Source organism: Homo sapiens, chromosome 1 (assembly GCF_000001405.40).
Source record: "Homo sapiens chromosome 1, GRCh38.p14 Primary Assembly".
Taxonomy (NCBI): Eukaryota; Metazoa; Chordata; class Mammalia; order Primates; family Hominidae; genus Homo; species Homo sapiens.
The window spans coordinates 212,545,059-212,571,088 of NC_000001.11; the positions used below are offsets into that span (position 1 = coordinate 212,545,059).

Genomic DNA, 26,030 nt, shown 5'->3' on the forward strand with positions numbered 1-26,030 from the left:
GGGCGTGGTGGCATGTACCTGTAATTCCAGCTACATGGGAGGCTGAGGCAGGAGAATCGCTTGAATCCAGGAGGCAGGGGTTGCAGTGAGCCAAGATCGTGCCACTGCACTGCAGCTTGTGGGACATCACAAAAAACAAGACAAAACAAACACATAAATGAGATAATTCTGTATCATGATCAACACCAGATATGGGGTGCATTCTGCTCTCAAAAACATTAGTTTCCTTCCTCCCTTTCTTTAACAGAAGAGTCACCTGGATTTGTATTGTGATTCTGGAGGATTCTATCATCCATGGGTAGACACAGATGTAGTAAGTCACAGAATCACAGACTTTCTGAGGGGATGGCTCTTAGAGATTGCTTGGTTCAAGTGGCAGAGCCTGTACCAAGACCAAATCTTTGCTTTCAATTTGGTACTCCTTTAATCCTTTTTGTTTCTAATATAATTCTGACTTGTATTTATTGTTTATCTTAAAAATTAAAGTATGATATGTAATGGTGTTAGATGATAGTTATAAATCAGGTAGTATATACTGCTCAAAGAAGACAAGTTTTTAATTTTCCTTTAGAGAAGAAAGTTTTAAAAGTAGCTATGTCATTTTGCAATGTTTGATATCCTTGTGTTTTATCTAGGGGGTCTGTATCTCAAAGCCTTTAAAATGCTGATGGAAGGAGTGGAGATCCAGCGTTCAGGGTAGAAAAGAGGTAGGTAAACATCAAGAATCCAGGAGAATGCTCTAATATTGGAAAGGGAACAAAAGTTGGGAGCTACTTGGGGAGGGTAAAAGGAATTATGGAAGGAGTTTGGAATACCAGGAAGCATGAACAGTGATTTTTACATTGCATTTGTTCCAAAAAAATATTGGTTTGTTTGCATATAAGACAGGCAGGAGGAAAATCTGAACAGTGAAATTACTCAATTTGATCTAAAAATATTAGTGAATAACAGATTGAGCCAGCATCACAGTGATGTAGAATAAGCTCTTTTGTCCTGAGGAGTCTAGCTTGTTTTCCTCCTCCAAAGGAGCTAGCTGCCTAAGATGAGGTTAGGCAATCTATCACATGACTCAAAGTCAGGCGGCTCAGACTCCCATCTGAAAAATGGAAATTCTGAAAAACTCACGTTTGCATCATAATGATTTACTGAAGGCACAATAGAGCAAAGAAAAAAAAAGGCTTAAGGCCTAAATTTTGGCAATTCAAGTATTCTGTTATTTAGAAGTTATTCAAAGCATAGAATTAGAAAGAATCTTAAAGGTCATGAAGCATCTTCATTTTACAGATGAAGAAAAAAACAGGCACCCAGAGGCTAGTCTAGCTCTCACAGCAAGTCAGAGGAGCGTGGGACTAGAATCCAGATCTCCCCAGTCAGTGCCTGGGTTGTACTACTGAACCTCCCCCCAATAGAGCATTTATTTCCAGTCATCTGATGTTTACTCCATCTCATGGCAACACTCTCTTTAAAAAAATGACAGTATGTTCATCTTTTCTCTCTTCTAATTGTATGAAATTGCACATCTAACACAAAGGAATCGGAATCATGTATCGTTACCAGGGAAAGTGTTTAATGGACATCTAAATTATGTGAAAACACTTCTTTTGGTGAAAATCATGGCTGTCCCTTAAATCTTTCTGCTCCAAGACTATAAGGGTGCATTGAAACATTCACATCACACACACACACACACACACACACACACACACACACACACACACCATATAGACAAAAACAGACCATGCCTATTGGTTATATAATAGAGATTGTAGGAGAAAGGATAAGAGTAGAGAGCCTTATTTGATTCATTTCAAAATACTGCTGATTATAATTCACCTTTTGTAGTGATTTGCTAGTCAAATTCACTCAACAAGAATTTACTGAGTGCTTTCTGCTTCTTAAGCACTAAGTATTTAAATATGAAAAGACATAATTTCCCACTCAGGGAGCTCACAGTCTAGAGGAAGATATAAGTAAGTCGGGCAACAAGAAGATTTGGTGTCATATGCTAAAAGTATAGCTAACCGGACAGTTGATTTTTAGAAAGCAAAACCTTTTTAAACATTGTACTTAGCAATTCTTCGAATTTCCAGTTTCTAAAAAGTTTAAGAATATTTTGTTTCTATTCCATCCATAAAATGAATTTAATACTGAGAAACTAAGTCAGTCAAACAAGGAGTAATATTGGTTCTCCCCATAATTGGATGACATAAATATATGCAAGAGTCTTTAGTCAGTTAAATTGAAGCGTTAGTATATACTTTTGAATATTGATGGAATTGTGGAAGGCAATAGTCCGTTTTTCACTATTAATATCCTATGGCTATAGATTTACATACAAGTTAACTAGTTTCTCTATTAAGTGGTATTTTTTACATAGCACAGAATTTGAGAGCTTCTGGATGCAGAAAATACAAGGTTCAAACAAAGGAAAATTATATTCTTATTGTATAGATTTTTCCAAAGTCAAAATAGTCTGTTAAATTTGGAAAAAAAAAACTTTATGAAGAAAAAACTTCAACATTTGTGATATATTCTCACTTATAAAAATTATTTCTAAATTTATGATGGTTCTATTTACAGGAACACATCAGTTAGTACTTCATGGATCATTGTTTATAAATCTTATCAAGTTTGAGAAAAACATTTTTCTGTTTTTAAAGAGAGCTAAAAATTAATAGTAGTTATGATAAATAAAAGAACTGGTCACATTTATTTTTATAACAATGCTAAATGTAGATTTAACTGTGAAGAAATATTTTTCCTGAGTCTTCGTTTCATTTAATACCTGGTAATTTATTTCAGGTCAGAATAAAAATGTTACCATGAATGCTATTGGACTACCATAGCATTTTCTAGTCTTTGATATCAAGCATTTATTAAAGACAATATAAATTCTAACACAGTAATATAAGTGGACTGTTATTGGCAGGCAGGTAGTTTGTTACGCTGAAAGATAATTAATAAGCTTCCTGGCAAAGAGAAATCTGTACAAAAATCTTTTGTACAGCATTCTGTACAAACAGAAATCTTTTAAGGTTTTTAATTTTAGGATGTGAGAGAGACTTAGTTATCTTTCTGTGACTAAACATAACATACTAAGCATAAAAGCGCTAATGGTACACAATTTTATCTTCCTAGAGATTAGTTCTGAAGCTATTTTAAAAGTATTAAGTTGATGCAGAGGTAATTGCAGTTTTTGCCATTACTTTCAATGGCAAAGAAATAATATAATCACATTTTCTTTTTCTTTTTTTCTTTTTTTTTTTTTTTGAGATGGAGTTTCGCTCTTGTTGCCCAGGCTGGAGTGCAATGGCTCGATCTCGGCTCAAAGCAACCTCCACCTCCCGGGTTCAAGCGATTCTCCTGCCTCAGCCTCTTCAGTAGCTGGTATTAACAGGCATGCACCACCACACCTGGCTAATTTTGTATTTTTAGAAGAGATGGGGTTTCTCCATGTTGGTCAGGCTGGTCTCGAACTCCTGAGCTCAGGTGATCCGCCCACCTTGGCCTCCCAAAGTGCAGGGATTACAGGAGTGAGCCACCGCACCTGGCCAATAATATTTTCAATGGCAAAGAAAGAATATATTTCTTTCCAACGCTTATTTAATAACTAGTGAACTATAGGTTAAACAATGTCCAACACTGAATAGATCAGAAAAATTATACTTGGTTTTTCAAAAACTATTAATGGAAAGTATATCAAATGAAAAGATAAGGGGTTGACTTTTTCAAAGCTGTACAGTGAATGCTCATCATTTTTTAGGGAGATGATATGCGATCAGTAACTGAAAATTCTGATTAGTTGTCCAAACTTTATTGCGTTTAACTAAATGCAATGTCACTTATTAATAGAAGCCTGGTTGCAGGAAATAAATGCTATGGCAGATTGCTTGAGGGCATGATAGGCTGAGTGTTACCTGTGGAAGAAGGATAATCAGAAAGCGTTCCCTTTAGATTGTGTTCAGAATTGGATTAATGGGAGGGCCAGGTAATCTAGTCTAAAAGTAGTAAAACATTATTGGAACTGTAACACATTAGTAAATTTTATTTACCAAAATTTCTCTTAGAAATTAAAGTAGGAAGGTGGCTGGGAGTGGTGGCTCACACCTGTAATCACAGCACTTTGGGAGGCCGAGGTGAGAGGATCACTTGAGGTCAGGAGCTCGAGACCAGCCTGGCCTACATGGTGAAATCCCATCTCTACTAAAAATACAAAAATTAGCCAGGTGTGATGGTGCACACCTATAATCCCAGCTGCTTGGGAGGCTGAGGCAGGAGAGTCTCTTGAACCCGGGAGGCGGAGGTGGCATTGAGCCACAATCACGCCACTGCACTCCAGCCTGGTTGACAGAGTTATACTCCATCAGAAAGAAAGAGAGAAAGAGAGACAGAGAGAGAGAGAGAGAGAGAGAGAGAGAGGGAGAGAGGGAGGGAGGGAGGAAGGGAGGAAGGGAGGGAGGGAGGAAGGAAGGGAGGAAGGAAGAAGAAGGAAGGAAGGAAGGAAGCAGAAAATAAAGTAGGAAGGTATACTCTGGTGAGCCATTTGGGGTGGGATAGGGTGGGGCGGGGTGAGGCATGAGAACCCAAATGAACATGCTCCAGTAACCAGACAGCTGCTAAACTGCCCTGAGGATAAGTGCAGTTAAGAGCGCTTTGTTTTGCTTAGAGGGTGCTGGTTTGGGGCAAGAGTGAAATTGTTCAGGATACTAGAGAGCCTAACCTGCCACAGCCATCCTCCTCCTAGCCTCCCGTGAAGTCTATGGGATGCCAATTCAGAATACCTGACCAGCTATTCACGTGCCCTTGGTCCACCTCTGAGATCCCTATTGAGTCCTTATAGAATTGCCTTTACTTAACAATGCTTTGGGGGCCATAAGGTATGCTACAAGAAACAGTAAAATGAAACACAATAGTTGACTGTAGGGATGAGGTTAAGAGCAAAGGATCTTTTTCATAAGATCCAGAGGAGGTCTTTTGGGAATCAACTGTAAAGGATATTATGCAACTTGCAACTGGGCATATTTTCTCCTTGGCTTTCGATGTTAGGAAACCTGAGAGACAGATTTGCCATCCAGTTTTTGAAACTGTATAGGCTAAGAGTATGCATTTCTTTTCCTCTTATCTCTAGCTTCCATTCTCTTACCTATTTTTTTTCTTTCCCCTATCTCCAAATTTTTATTTCAATCTTCCATGTGATGAGTATTTTTGATTATTCTCTGTTCTTTGGTAGCACTAGTTGAAGCCCCTGGTTCCAGCATCCCTTGCCTTCCTCTTTCTTAATTTATTCCTTCATTTGATAGAATACCCCCTCCATAGCTTCCTGAGAAAGGGCAAAAAAGAAGCAATTTTTTTGACACCTGGCTTATTTAATATTTTATTTATTCTACCCTCACTCTTGACAGTTTGGCTGGGCATACATAGAAAATTCTCTTTTCTGTGTGGATTGGGCAAGAAAAAGTGGCACTCTTTGTTTCATTATGTTCATAATTTAGCTGCTCTAATACCATAGTACTGGTCAAATTACTTAGCAACTTTAGAAAATCAGAGCAGGCATATGACTTTGAGCCACTGTTTACTGAGATTTATTACTATGTAATATATCCAATTAACACTCTATAAAAGTAAACGTTTGCATTCTTACTTACTTTTTTCAAACATTTAGATATGGATTTTCTCTGTGTTGTTTGTATAACTTCCTTAATCTTTTCCTGTTTTTATTTTTACTTTTTATTTTTGCAGAGAGGGTCTCACTCTGTTGCCCAGGCTGGAGTGCAATTTTGCCACCATAGCTCACTGTAGCTTGAATTGGGCTCAAATGATCCTCCTGCCTCAGCCTTCCAAGTGGCTAGTACTATAGTCGCATGCCCACCATACAAGCTAATTTTTTTTTTTAGATGAAATCTCTCTCCCTTGCCCAGGCTGGATTGTAGTGGCACCATCTTGGCTCACTGCAACCTCTGCCTCCCAGGTTCAAGGGATCCTCCCACCTTGGCCTCCCAAGTAGCTGGGATTACAAGCATGCATCACCATGCCCAGCTAATTTTTGTATTTTTAGTAGAGACAGGGCTTTGCCATGTTGCCCAGGCTGGTCTTGAACTCTTGACCTCAAGTGATCTGCCTGCCTCAGCCTCCCAAAGTGCTGGGATTACAGGCATGAGCCATCTCGCCCGGACTTTTTTTTTTTTTTGTAGAGCCAGGGTCTCGCTATTTTGCCCAGGCTGGCCTTGAACTCCTAGCCTTAAGAGAGTCTCCCACCTCAGCCTCCCAAAATGCTGGGATTACAGGTGTGAGCCACCACACCCGTTCCTTTTCTCTTTTTATTATGAGTGACATATGACAAAACGGCGTATATTGTAGGTTGTAGGATGATGTTACTATTTTTTGGTGTTTTGCCCTCACAATTTACTCATTCATTCATCATTGGTTCAATAAACAATTATCGTCCTCAATTTCTCCATCTTGTTTCATTTTTCTTCATTCCATTGTCACTCTTTCTTTTCTCACTCTGAGAAAATCCAATATATGAAAACCTGCATTTACCCAAAAGAAAAATCAGAGAGTAATTATTCCCCTTGAGCCCACAGGCCAGTTCCAGCCGCCTGCATCTGCATTCTAAAAGGCAATTCTTCTCTACCAGGGACAGGTGTGGTATCCTATTTAAGGTAGTTTCTGAAGATTTTGAGGGTAAAAAGCAGATAAAGAACTGGCATTTCAAAGAGTGATGAGAGCAGAGTACAGTTAAATCATTTAATTAACACTCCAAAGCCTCAGTGCTTCTGTCTCGGGGTTGTTGTTGTCCCCTTTCCTCTCTCTTTACCTTTATGGACGTGTCACTTTCCCCTTCATATTTGCTTTGCCTCCTTTCTCTCTTCCCCACTTACATGGCCACAGTAAAGACTTGAAGTATTCTCTATTTTCACATTTGCTACATTTTATACTTTTTACTTTTAGTTTTCTCCAATTTGCCTGTCATCCTTCTCTGTATCGTTCCAATTTTACTATATGTGCTGCCAAAGCAAGCACTACTTTTAGCTTCCCAACTAGTGAATTGAGACATTTATTATTAGGTTGGTGCAAAAGTAATTGCGGTTTTTGCCATTACTCTCAATGGCAAAATTACTTTGGCAATTACTTTTGCACCAACCTAATCGTTTCAAAATCAAACCAAACCAAACATGAAAGTGCTTTTTATTGCTCCATGGTCCCTAATGAAACTTTTTCTGTGGAATGATAGACATGGACGGGAAAGGATTGCTTTAGGCCCTGCTTACAAGAGCAAACTCCTCAAGTGTGATTTAAATGATTCAATTAAGTGACTGTTTACAAAAGTGAGGCTAGGGTTAAGGAAAACTGACTATAAATGGTGGAACAGCCAGGGAATCCTTAGAGCAAGAAGCCTTTCCACCCCCAGGTCTGAAAAGGCCAGGGGAAAGAGCTCTTCTTAGAAGCCAGAGAGAGCTATAGTTGTGTGGGTAGGGTGGCCTTAGGTAGAGGAGGACAGCCACTGCCAAACCAAGGTTGGCAGAGAGGGAGCCCCAAACTCAGTCTGCTCTGTTTGCCCCAGTGTAGAGAAATTTTATTATAAAAGCCAAAAGACGGAGATTACAATGAGCAGCCTAGCTAATAATCATATAGGGCAATAATCAGGCAGGCCAATCAAGAAAAGGGCCAATCAAGGACCAGGCCCCAGTGGCTCATGCCTATAATCCCAGCACTCTGGGAGGCGGAGATAGGTGGATGACTTGAGTTCAGGAGTTCGAGACCAGCCTGGCCAAATGGCGAAACCCTGTCTATACTAAAAATACAAAAGTTAGCCAGGCATGGTGGCAGGTGCCTGTAATCCCAGCTGTTTGGAAGGCTGAGGCAGGTGCCTGTAATCCCAGCTGTTTGGAAGGCTGAGGCAGGAGAATCCCTTGAACCTGGGAGGCGGAGGTTGCAGTGAGCCAAGATCATGCCATTGCACTCCAGCCTGGGTGACAAGAGCAAAACAGTTTCAAAAGAAAGAAAGAAAGAAAGAAAAGGGCAAGGGTCCCTTGACTCAAGTCCACTACCGGAATGGGTAAAATGACCAGCGGGTAAAGAAAAGAAAGATCTTCAGAGTCAATGGTTTTGGGGAAAGATGAATGAGTCCTTAGATGAATAGATGATGGTTTGTGACAAGGTCTGGGTGTGGTGGACTTCTGGCCTCCTCTCCTGTGATAAGAGTTAATCATCAGAGGTTTGGTAACAATTGACTTCATCTTGCAGGATGTGTCTTTAGGCATATGGAGGGAAACTCAGAGAACCTCTCCATTTTGAAATTTTTCAAGTGCCTTTAGCTCAAAGTAATCAATATACAAAAAAATATATATACCAATATACATATTTTGGGGTGGCATTTCCTGAACTCCTTCAATGGTGCTGGGGTTCAGAAACCAACACCCTAAAGTATGGCACTTTAACATGCTGAACTTCAGATGAAGCCTCTCAAGGTCTCTCTGGCATGCCCCACCCCTCTCCGCACTCTCTCCCAGAGCACAAGGCCAATCTGTTCTCTGAAGTTCCCTGATCTGCCTAAAGTTTGGGTCCACCAAAGAAGAAAACAATTACCTGTGGTCCCTTCCCTGAGTTTTCAGTAACTGAACTCATATCACAGGAAGAAAAACTGAAGTTTGTCAACAAATTTGGACAGACTTTTGTCACAAACCATTGTCTGCTCTGCGGGCCCAACAGACTTTGTCTCAGGCCATTGTATGTTCCTCACGCCTACTGAATTCCCCAAAATTCATTTACTACTACCCTAAAATCATCCACACTTCCCCATCTCCCTTTCTCCTAAGAAGAAGGGTATATACAAGCATCTGTGTCCCATTGCATGGTGGCGTAATCACTCTATGATAGTTCCCCTATGCATGCTAATAAGTTTGTATGCTTTTTCTCCCATTAATCTGCCTTTTGTAAGTTGATTTTCTCCTTATGAAAAGAGAAATATTAAGCTAATTGGGCTTACTTGGTATATTAAATTATACGGGAAGCATTGCCAAATAAGAAGTAAGGCTAAACCTTCTTTGGATTATATTTGTATGAATGTGTTATTAACATATTTCAGAAATTGTGTGAAATTCATAGAAATTTGATAGTTCTGGAATAACATTATCAGTCATAATTCTGGTTACTATCTTAAAATGTTGCATGCAACAGAAATAACCAAATTCCCTTCTCAATTGTGTTATCATCGTAATGAACTCTCATCAGATCTTTAACTATGAACATTTGAAGTCTTGTTATTCTCAGCTGGCAATTGTTTACTGTGGTCTATCTTTTTTCTTTCTCCCCTGTTTCCTTATGTCCTAATTACTTCCTTTTCCTTGCAGGAAAATCCATGGAACCATAATCTATGGATGGCTTTAGGTAAGGCTTATGCTCTAGCAAAAAACCAGAGCAACTGTTAGGCTTATGAAGATAAGCTAGTTTCCACTGAGGAATGATTCCAATGGGGTTCTTGAGGGCTCACTCTTGGCAGTAGTAGTGTATCAGTCATATGGAATTTGAAACCAATCCATAAATTGGGGAAAAATCCTGGACTTTGTGGCTAACCAGAACTCCCAGAGGTTCAAACGGGCAGAAGTCATCCTTTGAGAAAGGTGGATGATGGCATATATACTTTTTTTTTTTTTTTCTGAGATGGAGTCACCCAGGCTGGAGTACAGTGGGGCAATCTCGGCTCACTGCAACCTCTGCCTCCTGGGTTTAAGCAATTCTCTGCCTCAGCCTCCCGACTAGCTGGGATTACAGGCGCGTGCCATCACGCCCGGCTAATTTTTGTATTTTTAGTAGAGACGGGGTTTCATCATTTCGGCCAGGCTGGTCTTGAAGTCCTGACCTCGTGATCCACCCGCCTTGGCCTCCCAAAATGCTGGGATTACAGGCATGAGCCACTGCGCCCAGACAGCATATGTTTTAAGAAAAAACATTTACTGGAACATCATGTGGACTTAGAGCTTCTTTTCGCCCAAATTGGAGGCTTGTATATAGTATTGACAAAACTGAATATTGTGCCTGTCTGTCCCCTAATTTTGTTACTAGAGGAAGCTTAACTAAAAACAAAGGTGAAACTGCTGTTTCTTTAGACACTGCCATCAAATACATGAAGGAAATTTCTTAAGGGAAAGGAACACATGCTGTGTCCATGGCAGCAGCTAACAGTTGGTTTGCAGGAATCCTGAGTGGTGGATGGCAAGCTTGGCTTTTCCAGGGTTTTCTAATCTATGTTCTTCTAGTGGGTCTCCAGGTTACTAAGGCTTGTGTTATCAAGTTAATGACAAAATTGGATACTTATTTAAATCAGATCATTCTATAGCAAGCTGTGGTCCTTAATTTCCATCACACTTTGAATAAGGATTATGGCCAAATGGACTCAAATACTGTTAAGCTGCCTATATTACTTACCTAAGCTTTGACTTGTTTGATTTGGATCAATTTGGTCCCTCAGGGCTCCTGTTAAGGAATACGCTTCATTTTTTGGTGTTATCCTAAATACCAAATCCTATCTAACAGTCATCATGATAGTCCCCTGCTGTGCTGTATCCTCTCAAGTCTTAAATGTTAGTATGCAGCCATCCATTGAGCACTGAATGATCTCACTTTGACTAAATCAGCAAGAACATAATTATTCGACTGATGTGATAACTTGTGAATTCCATATTGAGACCAAGTAAGTCCATTTATGATGGTGACAGACAGTGGCATGAATCAGACATGTTTTTAGAAAGTTTTATTAATTTTATTTAAAATTTTATTTTCAGGAATGGGATTGACTGCAAAGGAGCACAAGGGAACTTCCTGGGGTGATGGAAATGTTTTGTCTTGATTGTGGTAATGATTACATGACTATGTTTGTCAAAATTCCAGAACTTTATACCTAAAAGGGTGAATTTTACTGCATGTAAATTATACCTAAACACATGACTTTTTAAAAAGGCCTGAAATCTTAACTACTCAGCTAAAAATAAAATAAAATAAAATAAACAATTTAGGTGCAAAACAAGTTTTGTTTTTGGGACTGACAGAGGTCCAGTGATTGTATTTATTTATAAAGCTAATAATCCAATCCAATATATCAATATCAATACTTTTAAATAGGATATAAAAAGTTATGAGATTTTTTAAAATAAGGATTTAGACTGCAAAATATTATGACTACAATGTTCCTGAAGCAACACTATCTTAAAAAATATCTCAAACAGAAAATAACACTCTAATGCTCTCAATCATTGCAATAATTGAAACTTCCAGAATATTACCATAATGCTGCTTATATTACATACCCAAAGCCCTGTATTTAATAGTTAAAAACAAAGAATTATTTAATACCAGCTAGCTTCATTACTTGATAGATTAACTTGCTTGACAGATCAACATTACTTGATAGATTACTGGATAGATCAACTAGCTTCCTAAAACATAACTGTAGCTCAGCTTCTAAAAAAGGTGAAAGAAATTATTATATTCAACTGAACTAGATTTTAAAAATAAAGACTATCAAGAACATAGGAAGAGGTAATTAAATGACGGGTCCTCTCTACTAAGGTTTCAATAGAAGCAAATACATCCGAGAAACCATTTACAAAGAACTCACCCTCATAATTGCCTTAGAGACCAAAGTCACAATTTTAAGGCCAAGATCTTTAGAAATCAGATAGGTCAGTGTGACGGTTAATTCTGTGTCAAACTTGACTGGATTATGGGGTGCCCAGATATTTTGGTCAAACATTATTCTGGGGTTATCTTTGTAAGGGTGTTTTGGATGAGACTAACATTTAAATTGACAGACGAAAGCAGAGTGCCTTCTATAATGTAGGTGGGCTTTATCCAATCATTTAAAGGCCTGAATAGAATGAAAAGTTTGACCCTCCCCAAAGTGAGTGAATTCTTCCTACTTTTGAACTGTGACATGGGCTTTTTCCTGCCTTTGGACTTGGACTAGAACTACACCATCAGCTCTCCTAGGTCTCAAGCTTGCTTACTCACCTTGCAGATCTTGGGACTTGCCAGCCTCCATCACTGCATAAGTCAATTCCTTATAATAAATCATATATGTGCACACACAGGCATGCCTCAGAGATATTGCAGGTTTGGTTCAAGACCACTGCAGTAAAGTAAATATCACAGTAAAGGGATCCACACAAATTTGTTGGTTTCTCAGTGCATATATGTTATGTTTACACTACACTGTAGTCTTAAGTGTGCAACAGCATTATGACTTTAAAAAAAGTACACACCTTCATTTAAACATATTTTCTTGCTAAAAAAATGCTGACAGACATAAAGTGAGCACATGCTGTTGGAAAAAACGGTACCAACGGTACCAATTTGTAAATAACACATTATCTGCAAAGTGCAATAAAGTGAGACACAATAAAATGAGGTATGCCTGTATATCCTATTGGTACTGTTTCTCTGGAGAATCCTAATACAACCTGCTTTCAAATCAATTTAAGACCCTCCCCCCATAAGCATTACATTGAGGAAAATGTGGTTGCAACTTTGTCCTACAAATTAGGACAAAGAGACCTTTGTTGCCATATAACAATATTAAAAAACCAGTATGCCTACCTCTGGATGTATTTGCTACAAATACCAGTATTAGATTGTAATTGCCAATCCTTTAAAACCAGTTTTAAGATGGATATAAAGCCCTAAAAATCTTGCAGCTTCCACATGCACATCTGAAAAACTTCCAATTTACAAAGGACATTGTGGTATTTTTGGAAAACAAAGGAAAATGACACATACTAATTTCTGTCATTTATTCACGTCATAATCCCCAAAGCTACCTTTATTCCACGACTCTTTCCACCATTTTCCTACAGTCAGCTTTTTTTAAGGCTATAGCCTTTAAAAACTTGAAACAGAAAATTTTAAGGATGCAACCATTAGAAAATGTTCCCATACTACCATTTAACATTCCCCATTTATCATTATGTTTACTATCGTGTAATTTCCAACATAATATTATGAGGTCAAAGGCTCTACGAACGCCGTTTTACAATCTACCTAGGGAGGCAATGGCTGTGAAACACACCACACCAATGACAGGAATGCGGGTCACTGTGACACAACGGATCCCTCTGCAAAGTCAAAGCTAAGAGTTCACTTTACGCTGACGGAGCTTCTTTCCAGGACCCCCACCCCCACCCAAGGACAGGAGAGTGTCGATTTCCCAAGGTGTCTGGCACTGCTTCTTGAAAACGCAGCTCTCATCTGGTTCCTGGAAGGTCATACTGGTTCGCGCAGGGCTCGGGACGGGGCGCTTGGCTTCTGAGGCACCCGCGCTGGCTCCTCACCCGGTGACCTTCAGGCCTCTGCGCTTGGCCTGACCCTAGAAGGGCCACCGCCCTTCACAGCGGGCGGGCACCGTCCCTCCCACGGCCCCGCCGACTGCTGACGCGGTGGCCCCAAGGGTCCAGGCCCGCACTTGCCCCACTCCCGCGGCGCCGTCCCCCATAGTCGGTCCCCGAGGGCCGCGCCCAGCTCCTGCTCGGATTTCAGCCCGCACCGCACCCCAGCCGCCAGGGAACCTTCCAGAACCCTGCCCCTCTGGCTTTCTCCCGAAAGCCCAGGGTCGCCGTCCAGGAAGAAACTTCGATTCATTTATTGAGCGCCGACTGTGTCCAAGGCCGAGGGAGGGGCGGGGTTTCCACGCGGGGAGACCCCCTAGGTTCTCGCCTCGGTAAGCGCCCGCGTTCCAGCACCTCGAGTCGCCCGCGGGCCCCCACCCCTCGGGCCGGGCCCGGTCCTCGAGGAAAACCCACGGCGGGGCAGGAAGGAACGAGGAGAGCCACGCTCCTTGCCCGCCTCGTCCCCTCCACTCCCCTTCACCTCACGGGACCCCAGGGAAGCCGCCGGAGCTAAAATTAGCAACCCGCGCAGCGCGCGCTCACGTGCGCGCGGCCCGGCGGGGGCGGGGAGCAAGGGGCGCGGTCCGGGTGAGTCACCGGCCCCGCCCCACTCGCCAAGAACGCGCTGACGTCAGCCGCTTCCCCGAAGGGTGACGTAAGCGCGCCACGGGGAGGCCGAGGCAGCTGATAGAATGTTCTGAGTTTCGATGCCTTAAAGGGACCAGGCCTGGGATCGTGAAACATCTGGGGAAACGACTCCACTCACTCACCTGCAGACTGAGAGCCCATCTTGTACCGTGTTATACTTTAAGAGAGTTGACTGTTGAGATGATGATGAAAACGGAAGAACAACTGAGCCTAGTTGGAGGCTCTTTGAAGTCCCAGAACCTCCTCCTGGAAGCCCTCTTTGGTTAACCAGATGGACATCTCAGTTGCCCTCTGAGCCTGAACCAAGTGTCAGGAAGAGTTTTCTATGGCCCTTGACTCCTTAACTCTTTGCTTATAGCGTCTCTGCTCTCTGATGCCTCTGCTGTCAGAGAAAGGCTGTGGTTTAAATATTTATTTATGAATCCATCAGCTTGGGCCAACTAGGTCCATTTATCACCGTTTTGACTGTGTCTAAACTGTCATTAGTGGTGTGACTAGAAACCAGTTAATTTCGCTGGGTGGTAAATTCGTGGACTGATCTCCAAACCCTCCTACTGTGCTAATGTTGCCAATGGAAGTTTCCAGAGGCCAGGATCCCTGGCCAACACGTGATCGTAAACAACATCAGGGCCTCACAGGGAACTCACAATTTACTGAGGTTTGCTCTGTGCCAGGTGTTTTCATGATCCTCCATCCCCTTGTCGTTTAGTCCTCTTCTCTGAGTCCTCCCCATTTTACTGATGAGGACGGAAATCGAGGCACACGATTAAGCGTTTCCCTGGGTCACACAGCTAATGAATGGCGAGCTGGAAGTCAGTCCCAGGTCATCAGACTCCGAAGTCCATGGTTTTGGTGATGAAGGTGGGCTGTGAAATGTGTGTCTTATTCTATGCATGTGAGTCCGCTGGAACCAACTTTTCCACTTGGAACACAATCTCAGTGCCTTTCAGCAGGTAACCGGCGCCAGACCAGATCTCCAGAGATGGAGGTGGTCGGCCTCAGGGCCCAGCCATGAGAAGGTGTATGAGGAGGCATCGCATCAGGCGCCCACCCTGTGCTTGCAGGGCCTGACCATGAGCGCCGCCTTCAGTTTTACACCTTAGGCACCCCACTTGGCTCCCCTTCGTCCCAGCCCTGCCAGACCCACCCTTGACTCTGTGTTTCCTTTCTGGAAACTCGAGAGGCCATTTCTACTTAAAGAGTCCTCACCTGGCCTACCAGCGACCAGATCTGCCCAAGTGCAGAAGAAACACTTGGTTATCTCCTCTTTCATCGTCCCCGCTCGAGCATAAAACAACAGAAAGTTTCCTATCGGAACAGCATGCTTGTGCCAAAAACAAATTAGAAACAACAACAACTTCTCAAAATTTTGAGCAAAATGATGGTGACCGTGTTCTGGAAATGGAGCAAAGTGAGTGAGCCACTGTCACTGTTACATCTGACAATCACTACTGGTACTTGGCTAAATATTGCAGCCACCTCTTCAGGCTACACATGTCAGGTGTACCAGAAGCACCTTCCGCCTCCAGCTCACTTCTGGGAGATATTTAGAGCTGACTCCTCTCCCCTCCCCAGTCTCCAGCCACCAGCAAGCTCTCTCCTTGGTGTCCCCAGCTCCTGCCCCTCATGCTGATAGAAGCATTGCCCGCTGTTCTTCCTGTTCTTACAGGTTTCCTAGTGCCTGTGACCAAACACCTTGTGTGTGCTCCCCAGGAGAGAAAACCGCTAGCAGCCTCAGGTATTGTTGGGGGTGGGGAGGATGGGGGTTCTGTGGGGACAGGAACTTCTTCCTCTGTATTGGGGGTGGACACACACACGGAAACTTAGAGCGGTGTACTACCTCCAGGCCAACCAGGCAAGTCCCTGTTTTATAACTAAGGTCTAGGTGAGGTGGCCTGCCCGGGGTCCCATGGCCTGTTAGGGGTAGAGATTTCTAGTCACTTGACTTCCAGCCTGCTTCTTTTCCATGGATCACACACACACTACTGTTACAAGACACAGGTAGGACAAAGGGCATGAACATGCATGGCAAAATGAACATGCACGGCAAATGGGAACATGTCATATATACAATGGAAGGGAAGACAAATGACATGAAGTAAATATAGACATGAAATCATAGGGAAGAATTGGAGATCACGATTTCTGATGACCACCAGCTATTCCCACTTCCTCTTTGCTTCTCCCTCCCACCTTGTTTGAAGACAGGTGAGGAGTTGTTCCTCCTCAGACCCAGGAATCATTTCCCAGTGGAATGACACGGTGAAGTGGATCGCCATTTTTAAACCTTCAATAATAAAGATCTTGTGTGTCATTTCAGTTTTAATTTTTTATCGTCCAGTCTTTACTCTCCATCATTTCTTTATCCCAGAAGCCCCATTAAATGTCATTAAGAGCCATAAATGTAACTGGCCACTAATGTGGAAGGATTGTGATCTCCGGCAAACAGCCCCGGCAAGCAAAAGAACAGGAATCCTGGGTCAGTTTCCAACTGTGCCTGTGACTCACTGTGTGACACAAAGCAAAGCTCCACTTTTGCGGAGGGAGAGCTGTGGGGCAGCGAGACACACATAGCCTGGGCCCTGACAGAGGTGGAGGGGTTTCCCTGCATGCAGGAAGCTCAGGGGTCCCTGTTGGAATCCAGTTCCATAGTAACTCCTTAGTAATGGCCATGAGCTGTGCCTCCAATGGAGACACTACCATGGCTTGGACTGGATTGTGGCACTTGCCCTTCGTGACATCATTCTCATAGGTTAGGAATGCACCCTGATTATTTCTAACTCCACTTTAATAACTTGTTCTGGATCTGCCCTCCAGGAATTTATTTGAAACTTTCTTTATTCTATTTATATTTCAGCCTGTACAGCCTTTTCAGGCAACAAGTAGATTTACCATTTATGTAAAAACACTTAATTCTAAAACACAGGAAGTGCTGCATAATGGTTTGTTATAATAATCACAATAATTTGATATCTATATTGTTATACATAACAAATATTATATTATAGTTTGATGATAATTATTCATGCAGATGGCCTCACAGGCTTCATATTTTCAGTCACTCACTATCTTTGTGTTTATCCCCTCACCCACCTCTCCCCAACCCCAATCAAAAAGTATCTCTTGGCTGGGTACAGTGGCTCATGCCTTTAATCTCAGCACTTTGGGAGGCTGAGGCAGGAGGATTGCTTGAGCTCAGGAGTTTGAGACCAGCCTGGGCAACATAGTGAGACCTCATCTCAATTTTTAAAGAATTTTTTTTTTTGAGATGGAGTTTTGCTCTTATTGCCCAGGCTGGAGTGCAGTGGCATGATCTCAGCTCACCGCAACCTCTGCCACCCGAGTTCAAGCTATTCTTATGCCTCAGCCTCCCGAGTAACTAGGATTACAGGCGTGTGCCACCACGCCTGGCTAATGTTGTATTTTTAGTGGAGACGAGATTTCTCCATGTTGTTTAGGCTGGTCTCGAACTCCAGACCTCAGGTGATCTGCCCACCTTGGCCTCCCAAAGTGCTGGGATTACAGGTGTGAGCCACCACGCCTGGCCAGAAATTGTTTTTAAGTGTCATAGTGAAGATGAGGGGCGGGGGAAGCATTTATTAATGGAATTAGGTGCTGTAATGGGTGCAACTCTGTGCAGAAACTTACCTAAACAGATTCAATGTCCTCTAAGGACTTGTTATCTAAGATCAACATATGGTAGGTGCTTGTCTTAGTCAATTTGGGCTGCTATAACAAAATACCGAAGACTGGGTGTTGTAAACAACAGATATTTATTTCTTACAGTTGTGGAGCCTGGGGAATTCAAGATCAAGGTGCTAGCAGATTAGTGTCTGGTGAGGACCGGCTCCCTGGGTTGCACACCTGCCTTCTTGCTGTGTCCTCACGTGGCCTTTCCTTGGTGGTGTGCCTGTGAAGAGAGAGAGAGCTCTCCTGTCTTTTCCTCTTCTTCTAAGGGCACTAATTCCATCATGAGGGCACCATCCTCATGACCTAATCCAAACCTAATGATCTCTCAAAGGCTGCACCTCCAAATACCATTATACTTCGGGTTAGGGCTTCAACATACAATTTTGGAGGAGACACAAACATTCATCCCATTTATTTGGTGCTCAATAAATATTGGATGTATGAATGGATGGAATAAAAAAAGATAAACCTGTGTGGTAATTGGATAGAAAACACATGGACATACAGTCATATGCCACATGACGTTTCAGTCAATAATGAACCGCGGATATGAGAGGAGTCCCAAAAGATATAATGGGCCAGGAGCTGTGGCTCACACCTGTAATCCCAGCACTTTGGGAGGCCAAGGCAGGCAGATTAGTTGTGGTCAGGAGTTCAAGACCAGCCTGGCCAACATGGTGAAACCTTGTCTCTACTAAAAATACAAAAATTAGCTGGTCACAGTGGCACATGCCTGTAATCTCTGCTACTTGGGAGGCTGAGGCAGGAGAATAGCTTGAACCCAGGAGGCGGAGGTTGCGGTGAGCTGAGATCGCACCATTGCACTCCAGCCTCGGCGACAAGAGTGAGACTCTGTATCCAAACAACAACAAAAATCAAAAAAACAAACAAAAAGATATAATGGAGCTCAAATAATCCTGTCATCTAGTGATATAGTTGTCATAACATAGTAGTAAAACATATTAACTTTTTTTTTTTTTTTGAGACAGGGTCTCACTCTGTCACCCAGGCTGGAGTGCAATGGCACAATCTCAGCTCACTGCAACCTCCACCTCCTGGGTTCAAACGATTCTCCTGCCTCAGCCTCCTGAGTAGCTGGGATTACAGACACCTGCCAACACGCCAAGCTATTTTTTGTATTTTTAGGAGAGATGGGGTTTCACCATGTTGGCCAGGCCAGTCTCGAACTCCTGACCTCATGATCCGCCTGCCTCAGCCTCCCAAAGTGCTGGGATTACAGGCGTGAACCACCGCACCCAGCCAACCTATTAACTTTTTTATGTTTAGATACGTTTAGATACATAAATACTTACCATTGTGTTACAGTCGCCTACAGTATTGAATACAGTAACATGCTATACAGGTTTGTAGCCTAGGAGCAATAGGCTATACCATACAGCCTAGGTGTGTAGTGGGCTATACTACCTAGGTTTGTGTAAGTACACTCTATGATGTTGGCACAACAATGAAATCACCTAACGATACATTTCTGAGAACATATTCTTGCTGTTAAGTGACGAATGACTGTATATGACATTCTGGCAAAGGCAAAACTATGGAGACTAAAAAGATCAGTGGTTACCAGGGGTTGAGGAGTGGGGGTGATGAACAGGTGGAGCACAGAGGGTTTTTGGGCCAGTGAAACTATTCTGTATGATACGATAATGGTAGATACTTGTATTTAAAAATCTGCCCGAACCCATAGAATGTACAACACCAAGAGTGAACCCCAGTGTAAACTATGGATTTCAGGTATTAATAATTTGTTAATTAGGTTAATTGATTGTAACAAACGTGCCAGTCTGGTGGGGGCTATTGATAAAGGAGGTGGCTATACAAGTGTGGGAAGAGGAAGTATATGGGAAATTGAGTACTTTCCACTCAATTTTGCTGTCAATCTAAAACTGTTCTACACAATAAAGTTGATGTTTAAAAAAGCCAAGTGATGTGGTAACACCTTTCTGTAGAGTTCATTCCGCTGTAGCGTCACATAGATTTGGGCTGGAATCTGAGCCAAGCCCTGTAACCTGGGGAAAGTTACTTACCCCTCTAATCTTAGTTTCTCTAACTTTATAGAGATTGTAATGCCTTCCTCAGAGTGTTTTGAGAACTAAATGCAAAACTGTATGTAAAGAATCTAATCCAGCACCTGGATATACAGCATGGTAAATATATACAGGCCTCCCCGTTCCTCCCTATGACTGTGATTCTTATCTCTTCTGATGGCTACTATTTTCAAAGTCAGCCAGGGGAAGAAAGCTGTCTTCTACTAGGTGAAAGTGTCTTCTACTAGGAAAGGAATCTGTGCATGGGGGCATGTGTGTCCTCAGTTGCTCATGTGTGTCCCCAGAGGTGCTGGCTACAGAAGGCCAGACATGCACTGGAGCCCCAGATCAGTGTCAAGCCCCTCACTCAGCTTTCTCCCGTGAAAAGGTCAGGATGATGGAAGGCTGTCATATTTAGATGATGGCTCGAAGGGAAGCCTCGGTGGGTTAGTCACCTATGATATGACATCATATGGCCACTCAATATAGTAACAGCTGTTGGTTGCTTTGTGGGGCGGAGGTGGGGTTAGCTTCAGTTGACCAACCATGCCTTGAGGATAAATTGGATGGGATCAGATGGGAAGATGTGACAAGAAGAGAAATCCTCCTCTATATAGGATGCTCTGCTGTTTCCTAAGGATTTTCAGCACCTTGCCCCAAAATGTGAGTCTTGACTTTTTCTCTGGCTTTGGGGCTAAGTGGGAAAAATGTTACAGGAGAAAGGTGTTTGGTCAGGAAGCCTCCAGTTGGGGGAGTACCCACTGTGGCCCTGCTGGGTGGGTGCCACCCAGAAGAGGGGTGGGAAAGTGAGCAGTTCGGTGCATATGGTACCCAATGAAGTGATCTGAGGGATAGGGATCGAAAAGTCCTGGAGTTAGGGTGCTGCAGAATCTCTAGGTTGGATTAAGTTTTTTACTGACCCCTCTGCAGGTTACATAACACCTGTGGGACGACCTGTGGCATCCCAGTGAGGCAGCGATGCCATCTCGGTCTCATCCAGGATGAAACCGTGGTTTGGGGATACCACTAGTCAGTGCTGTAGTCAATGTAGGGCATTGATTACTCATAATGGGAAGCCATTGGAGTTGGTTAACCCCTTCCTTCTAGTGTGTTCTCCTCCTTGACATTCCTGCCTGTTCTGGGGCCCTTGTGTTTTGGGAATAGAATGCTTTGTATCAGCAGTGTAACATGGATAGGTTAACTGGATATGGGCTGGATATGGGGAGAGCTGGTTCTTCCTGTGTTTAAACTGGAATAAGTCCAGAGTGAGGAAGTAAAGAGGTTAGAGAGGAAAAGCCCTGGAGTGAGGGTCAGGAGATCTTGTTTGGCAGCTGGTTCTGCCAAGTAAAAGCTGTGTGACCTTGGGCAAGTCATTGTTTCTCTTTAAGTTTTGGTTACTCCTCTCATCTGTAAAAACATGTGCACTTGGGGTTCTTCCAGCCCCACTAGTCCTCTTCTGTCCTTTAAGTGTGGATCTGTGGTTCTGTTGTTGGCACACCAGAAAGGGCACAAGTTTGAGTGTCTGGCTCTGCCATTTGCTGTGCGACCTTGGACAAGGACACCCCTTCTCTGAAACTCAATTTTCCCATTTATAAAATATGGGTTATTATGAGACATCAGTGAGGATGAAGCTGAGAGCCTTTTCAGAGGCACAATGTGGATGTAAAGCAACACCCTGAGTTTGGACAGGGCAGGTGGGGTAAGGCAGGCTGAGGGGTGATGTTTGGGGTTACTGGCAGGTTGAACTGTGACCAGGGCATAGAGGGGGTGGAGGTCACGGTCAGCTGTGCCATAGAAACCTCCTGCCCTGTCCTGCTCAGTTCCTGTTCCTTTCCCAGCAGCCGAGGAAGGGGAAACAGTTGAGAGGTTATAAATGACGCTGAAAACAGCTCACAAAAGTGTCTGAGGGGGTCATGCTGCTGGAGCAAAGCACGCGCTGGGAAGCCCATCCAGGGTCTGGGGACCCCTGAAAATTGAGCAGCCTCCTGGTTCCTATTGGTGCCCAAGAGGATGCACCTCCTGCACTGCTTGGCATCACTTCCTGGGAAAGTAAAACCTCGTACGGCGAGTAATGGATCACAACTGAACAGTGACCAGAGTGACCTGTCTCGAGCCATCTCTGAGGGAAAGTCACAGATTCCCTAGAGAAAGTCTCCAAATTCCTGTTTATTCTTCACATAAACAGATTAACCTAGGGGTAGCGATTTTACTTAACTCTTCCTTTCATGTTGCAGCGAAAGCGAAATTGGCCACTTCTTTGAAGCTGTTCTTTGAGCCATAAATATAATTTCTCTTCCCGCCCACAGAAAGGGGTTTTCTTTTTCTTTCTTTCTCTCTTTTTTCTTTTTTTTTTTGAAGCCCCAGGCACTGAGACGTTCAGAGGTTGGCAGGAGGTGCAGCTGCCGTAGGAGCAGCATGCTGTCCCCCTGCTGACTCATCTGACATTAACATAATTATGTTTCAGAAGTCAAAGTGATTTTCAAACTATGAGTAATGCAGGGTGTTAGAGAGAGTGTTTACACGGCAGTGGGCATTTCAGCACACTCAAGAAACCAGCTGCTGTTAACAGCTGCAATGAGTGAAGAAATAAGAAAATGCTCTCAGGAAAAACAGCCCTTCTCTCTTGTCTCTGTTTCTGTGCAAAGGATTCAGATGTCATGAAAGGCAGGTGAACTTAAGAGTTCCCTGAGGACCAATCCAGATCTAGCATTGTTATCTGAATGCCTTGATGTCTGATCTTTTTATAGGGAAAAAAATGTCTTTATAGCTTATTTTCCATTTACTCAACTCTAGGGAAAGGTGGATTTAAAGAGCTTAGCAAATTATTTATTTTTTATAATGCTACCGGTGTTAATAATTATAATAATAGTCTAAGGTTGTGCTGCTGCTTCTAAAATAGGAACAAGGACAAAAATCATTTCCCCCAGTTTTAAAGATGGGGGCAGAAGCCCATGGGGAGGGGGACTGGGAAATGTCTTCTTAAAGCTCCTTTGTCTCATTATTATGGGAAAAGTTCTGAGAGCCGTGGAGTGCAGTGTGCCAAGTATTTAGACCTCAGGAGAGAAAAACTGGGCTCCAGTCCTGTTCCAGAACTGAATATTGGAATGGGAATGCCTCAATTTCCTCATCTCATAATGAGAATATTAATAACACTTTCTTTGCCTATGTCAGAAGAAGAGCCTTGAACTTTTGTAGGGTAGGGACAGGGTCTGCCGACTATTATAGCCCCAGTTTCTAACTTAGAGCCTGCACATAGAAGGTGCTCAGTAAGTATTTGCAGAATTAATGAATGAGATAAAAGCTATAAACGCCAGAGCTCTGCTCTTGTGGTTTGTTACTGCATCTAGCAAGGTGTCATTCACATGGAGAGTGGTCAATAATTTTTTTAATGTGTTAAGAAAAAAATCATGAACTAATTATACATTCACTTATACATAAGTTATTCATAAACAAATTGGTTATTATTTTGGGGCTACCAAGCTGAATTACACACAAAAATATTTCTGTTTACTTAAGAATGTCTTTAATGACCAACACAATTTTATTAAGCCTCGTCTCTTGAGTATATATCCTTTGCATGCTCCACATTTGCATCATGGAAAAAGGAGCCCCAGAGAAAGAGCACACCAAAAACATCGACCTACCCTGAACTAAGGGGCTCAGGCGTGTTTTTGTGGACTACTTGTATTGAGTGATCTCTTCCTCCTGGACCCATTAATAATTATTGTTAGGCTTACTTCAAGTAGTAAATTTAAGCCAGTCCATTCATGGCAAATCAATCCAAAATGGCCATTAAGGAGAGTCAGGATCTGTGGTCCCATCCCAAATATTTGAAGATGATGCCAGAAAGCAAATTTAGTGTGTCCTCCTGGTGACTGTCATTTGGTATTTCTGTCCTAGGCCGATTCTCCGATGGGGGTAAATACAGGCTAGGGCATTTCTAATGTCTAAACCTCCACTGCTCTCTTTCTCTCAAAATTGCCTGTCCAACACAGTCATAATTTCACCTCCCCAACTCCGTCGTTACTGTAGGTTTATTAATGTTTGTTGGACCGGCATCCTAATTTGGGTGTGGGTGACTATTCCTTAAGGCATCTCAAGTAAAAAGGCTCCTTACTTCTGATCCTGGTTTATTTATTTTAAAAATACTTGTAAATTTAATATTAATTTAATAGGGTTTTTAAGTTAGTAGCAGGTTGCTGAAGGATCTAAATGTTTAACATATATTCTAAAATAAACATTGGCTGTTTAGAGCCCTTACAGAATAAACTTATTTGAATTTTTCCCCTGGCACCCTTTTCTTTATTTCTTCTACTCTTTCTTCCTTTCCTCTTTTCCCATCTCTCCCTCCGTCTTTTTCCTCCCTGCCTTCTTTTCTTTTTATTATCTTGTGTTTCATTTGTTTCTTTGTTGCTTTTGGTAAACGTCTTTCTAAAAAGTATGTCTGGAAAGAGATAAGAGAAACTGATTAAAGAGCCTAGGACGAGGTAGAGAGACTTTTCATCATATACACTTTCTGACTTCGAATTTTTAATAGTGGCAATACTTTTTCCCCAATAAAAAAGTTAACCAGAACAGAGTTGTACACCCTTCTTGTTTTCATTTTTCCACTTTTCTAATGCGAGCCTATTTCCTCCTTACTAGGATGAAAGACAGGAATGGCTTCCAAAGGAAAATGGGGAGAAGAGAAAGGAGACAGTAGACAGAAGCTCAATGCCTGTGTGTCCACAGTGGAGACGCAGGGGAAAGAGCTAGTGTAATAGAACCAGTAAATTTTTTTTTGGCTTTTTTTTTTCACTCGAAATGTAAACATCTTCCCACTTCATTCTTTCCACCTCATAAGAATTCTTCTTCTTCTACAACATAATTTTTAATGATTGTACAGGAGTTCCAATTAATGTAATTTTTTTAATGTAGTTTACCTTACTAATACTCTATGTTAAACATTTGGGTAATATCTGATTCATCAATATTGTAAATAGTACTGTAATAAACATTATTGTAGCTAAATCTATGTTCATGGCAATTCTTATTTACTTTAAATATATTTCCTCAAAAAGAATCAACATATTTCTCAAAAATAAATAAACCAAATAATATATGAATCATAGTCTTTGATATATGTTGCTCTTGATGTAATTTTAATTTCTATAGACACAAAGAAATTTTCCACATGTTTGTTAACAGGTTTATTTTCTGTTTATGAATCTTCTGTTCAGAGCCTTTGCCTGTACATCTGTTGGAATCTTAATATCTGCAGTGATTTAAAATGTTTTATAATATGTAAAATATACCAACAAAGACCTCCCTATCTATTATTTTTTTAAAGTAATAATAATTCCCTGGCTTGACATTTACATTTGAATGTAAGTTATATTTATATATTTTTGGCACAGAGAGATTTTAAGATTTAAAGCAATCGAATCTGTCAATTTTTTTTTCTGGAGAATTACTTTTTCCACTTAGAACTTTTAAAATTATTTCATATTTTCTTCTAATAGAAAACAGCCTTTTAAAGGTAAAATTTCCATATTTTATGTAATTACAGGGAAATGCACAAATCTTAAATGGATCATTCAGTAAGTTTTGACAAATGACAGATGCATATGCCTAGCAAGATATAAAACTCAAAGGGTATGACTTTTTCAGGTGATGGTTGCACATATCTATGAGGATACGAAAAAACAATGAATTGTACACTTTAAATAAGTGTGTTATATAAATCATATCTATAGACTTTTTTAAAAAATGGAAATTACCATCATCCCGGAAAGCTCCCTCGTGTTCTCTCCCAGCTGGTCCTCACTCCTACTCTACCCATATAGGCAACCACAGATTTTAGTTTTTTCATCATTAGTTTGGTCTGTTTTTGACCTTTATATGGAATGGAGTCACACAGCATGAACTCTTTTGCATAAGGTTTCTTTGACAGCATAATGTTTTTGAAATTCATCTGTGTTGGTGAGCTTCAGGAATTTGTGTCTTTGTTACTAAAAGTAAGCTTTCATTATAGTATGTCTATATGACAGTTTATTTATTCCTCTATTGATAGACACCTAGGCTGTCCCCAGTTTGGTGCCATTATGAATAATGAAACTATGAACATTGTTGTAAATGTCCTTTTATAGACATATGCTTTCATTTTTCTTGGATAAATACCTATGGGTGGAATTGCTGGGCATAGGATAGATGTATATTTCATTTTATAAGAAACTACCAGCCTTTTCTCCAAAGGTGTTATACCATTGTACACTCCCACCAACAATGC

At 41.7% G+C, this 26,030-nt stretch overlaps 1 protein-coding gene and 1 long non-coding RNA gene across 2 annotated transcripts in view, besides 7 other annotated features; both read left to right on the forward strand.

The window, feature by feature from the left end:
- Positions 1-635: 635 nt before the first annotated feature.
- Positions 636-11,008, forward strand: LINC01740 (long intergenic non-protein coding RNA 1740). Its single transcript, NR_125985.1, has 3 exons — positions 636-707; positions 9,354-9,390; positions 10,785-11,008. It is a non-coding gene; the product is annotated as a long intergenic non-protein coding RNA 1740 (long non-coding RNA).
- Positions 13,432-14,169: an enhancer, noted in NCBI's record as "H3K27ac hESC enhancer chr1:212731832-212732569 (GRCh37/hg19 assembly coordinates)". NCBI's record gives its function as "activates a minimal SCP1, AML or CMV promoter by ChIP-STARR-seq in primed H9 embryonic stem cells {active_cell/tissue: H9 hESC(primed)}" and the evidence as "EXISTENCE:reporter gene assay evidence [ECO:0000049][PMID:30033119]".
- Positions 13,549-13,678: an enhancer, noted in NCBI's record as "active region_2505". NCBI's record gives its function as "activates an Ori minimal core promoter by ATAC-STARR-seq in GM12878 lymphoblastoid cells {active_cell/tissue: GM12878}" and the evidence as "EXISTENCE:reporter gene assay evidence [ECO:0000049][PMID:35858748]".
- Positions 13,739-14,008: a silencer, noted in NCBI's record as "silent region_1796". NCBI's record gives its function as "represses an Ori minimal core promoter by ATAC-STARR-seq in GM12878 lymphoblastoid cells {active_cell/tissue: GM12878}" and the evidence as "EXISTENCE:reporter gene assay evidence [ECO:0000049][PMID:35858748]".
- Positions 14,179-14,318: an enhancer, noted in NCBI's record as "active region_2506". NCBI's record gives its function as "activates an Ori minimal core promoter by ATAC-STARR-seq in GM12878 lymphoblastoid cells {active_cell/tissue: GM12878}" and the evidence as "EXISTENCE:reporter gene assay evidence [ECO:0000049][PMID:35858748]".
- ATF3 (activating transcription factor 3) overlaps positions 20,349-26,030 on the forward strand; it is a 55,371-nt gene continuing 49,689 nt past the window's right edge. Inside the window, exon 1 of the mRNA NM_001030287.4 lies at positions 20,349-20,425. The gene's annotated coding sequence lies outside the window, so the exon portion shown is untranslated. The remainder of the gene's footprint in view (positions 20,426-26,030) is intronic.
- Positions 21,841-21,950: an enhancer, noted in NCBI's record as "active region_2507". NCBI's record gives its function as "activates an Ori minimal core promoter by ATAC-STARR-seq in GM12878 lymphoblastoid cells {active_cell/tissue: GM12878}" and the evidence as "EXISTENCE:reporter gene assay evidence [ECO:0000049][PMID:35858748]".
- Positions 22,401-22,450: an enhancer, noted in NCBI's record as "active region_2508". NCBI's record gives its function as "activates an Ori minimal core promoter by ATAC-STARR-seq in GM12878 lymphoblastoid cells {active_cell/tissue: GM12878}" and the evidence as "EXISTENCE:reporter gene assay evidence [ECO:0000049][PMID:35858748]".
- Positions 24,190-24,359: an enhancer, noted in NCBI's record as "experimental_3744 CRE fragment used in MPRA reporter constructs". NCBI's record gives its function as "activates a minimal promoter by MPRAs in K562 erythroleukemia cells, with activity observed for both the introgressed and non-introgressed 1:212742675 variant alleles {active_cell/tissue: K562}" and the evidence as "EXISTENCE:reporter gene assay evidence [ECO:0000049][PMID:34662402]".